General features: G+C 30.5%; 1 long non-coding RNA gene across 1 annotated transcript in view; it reads left to right on the top strand.

Annotated features, from left to right (window-relative positions):
* The window catches only part of LOC102723724 (uncharacterized), a 104643-nt gene that overhangs the window by 82293 nt on the left and 20402 nt on the right, over positions 1 to 1948 (top strand). The window lies entirely within an intron of this gene.

Genomic DNA, 1948 nt, shown 5'->3' with positions numbered 1-1948 from the left:
GTATGTAATAAAACACAATTGCCCTCCTACTGTATTGAAGCGGTTTATAGCTGTATGTGTTAAAATTTGAAACTAAAGGAATCCTAATTCAATGCTAGCCAAATAAACATGAAAAATATAGCATATGTTTGATTGTGATTATTTAACATGCGCTAGAATAAAGTTCACTGTCCTACAATATAAGAAGAACAAAGCTTTCTAAGCCAATCAATATCAAGTTACAAGATCAAAAATAGTTAACTTTTAAAATATAATATACTCATTTTTAAGTACTCCAGACCCATGTTTATTCATCACTGCAGGTCCAACTAAGCTTAGAAATAATTGATGTTTTCTCCCAGTAATTCAGACTGACTTGATCCTCAATGCCTACAAATTACTGAGATTTTACAAAGATTTTGCATTATTGTCAGGGAAATAGCAAATACACATGCATTTATTTTCTGAAGTGGGAGAAAAATTACTTGAGTATCATTATCTAGTTACTAGATTAAGGAAACACTTATCACAACAGAGGCAAAAATCTAATATTTATAAAATAATGTTTAAACTTTAGATGAGGATATAACTTTTAAAAAATGATCACTTAGTCATAAATTTCTATTTTTCATCTTCAACTATATTCAGTTGCTCAGAGTTTACTATTCAGAAAACTGAAATTTAATGACTGATCATTATGACATTCACACAACAGATTAATCATAAATGTGAGAATTAAATCAAGTTACTTATTCTAATTTTGCAAAAACAAAAAAAGTTTCTGTTGTAATTCATAGTTATTTGAGTTATAACATCTCCTGGATAAATAATTTTTTTTTTTGAGACAGAGTCTCACTCTGTCGTCCAGGCTGGAGTGCAGTGGCATGATCTCTGTTCACTGAAACCTCCACCTCTGGGATCAAGGGATTCTCCTGCCTTAGCCTCCTGAGTAGCTGGGAGATAAATAACTTTTTAAAAAGATCATCTTATATTTACACTAATAAAAGCAGGTTATGAAATACAAAATCATCCTTTTTATGGATCCCTATCTATTCAATCTGTGCAAAAAGATGGCTATGATATCTTTAACATTTAAAGGATAATGTGGGTAGACAGTTAACGTTTATTATCCATCAAACCCAAGGTGAATCCTTAAATATACACTGTCCCATTCATCTCTAAGATAAAACAAGTTGGTAAGATACATACATGGTATCAAGTTTATAAATATGAAATTACGTCTTAGAAATGATAAATGACATTCCAAAGTTAACAAATGGTAAATAGCAAAGACACAACTGGAACCACAGTTGATCTTATTAAAAGTGATGCAAAAAAAGCAATTACTTTTGCACCAACCAAATGTTTTGCAGGATATTAGATATGTAAGTCCCATTTCCTAACTACATTCCTAACAAATACACAATAATACTAGTGCCATATATTTTTGAAGATGTAATTTATGAAGAGATTGTGCTTGACAGAGTGGAAGTGATGGGAATTGAAAATATATCATAAACAGGGTCTCTGTTATAAGAAAAATATTAGCATCCAATGTAGATAAATATAAGTGGTTAACTATGGTTATAGGCCTATAAATGAGTCTATCAAAAAGTTATTTTTTCAGTTTCTTTTTACAAACATTTATATTTAGATGCAGATCCCATGCCATGCTATTCATCCATTTAATGTGTGCAATTCAATTTTTTTAGTGTTTTCACAAATATGCACAACTATCTTCAGTCAGTTATTGAATAATTACTTCACCTCAAAAAGAAACCCCACACTCTTTATTCAACATTACCCTAGGTCCTCAAACCTAAGCAAACACTAATATGGATTCTGTCTCATAAATTTGCCTACTCTGGACATTGAATATAAATGGCATCATATAATATGTATTATTTTGTGACTAGCTTCTTCCACTCGGTATAATCTTTTCAAGTGCCATTCATGCTATAACATATAT

The sequence above is a fragment of the Homo sapiens genome, chromosome 6 (genome assembly GCF_000001405.40).
Source record: "Homo sapiens chromosome 6, GRCh38.p14 Primary Assembly".
NCBI classification, from domain to species: domain Eukaryota; kingdom Metazoa; phylum Chordata; class Mammalia; order Primates; family Hominidae; genus Homo; species Homo sapiens.
This window is presented reverse-complemented; position numbering and strand designations above follow the sequence as displayed.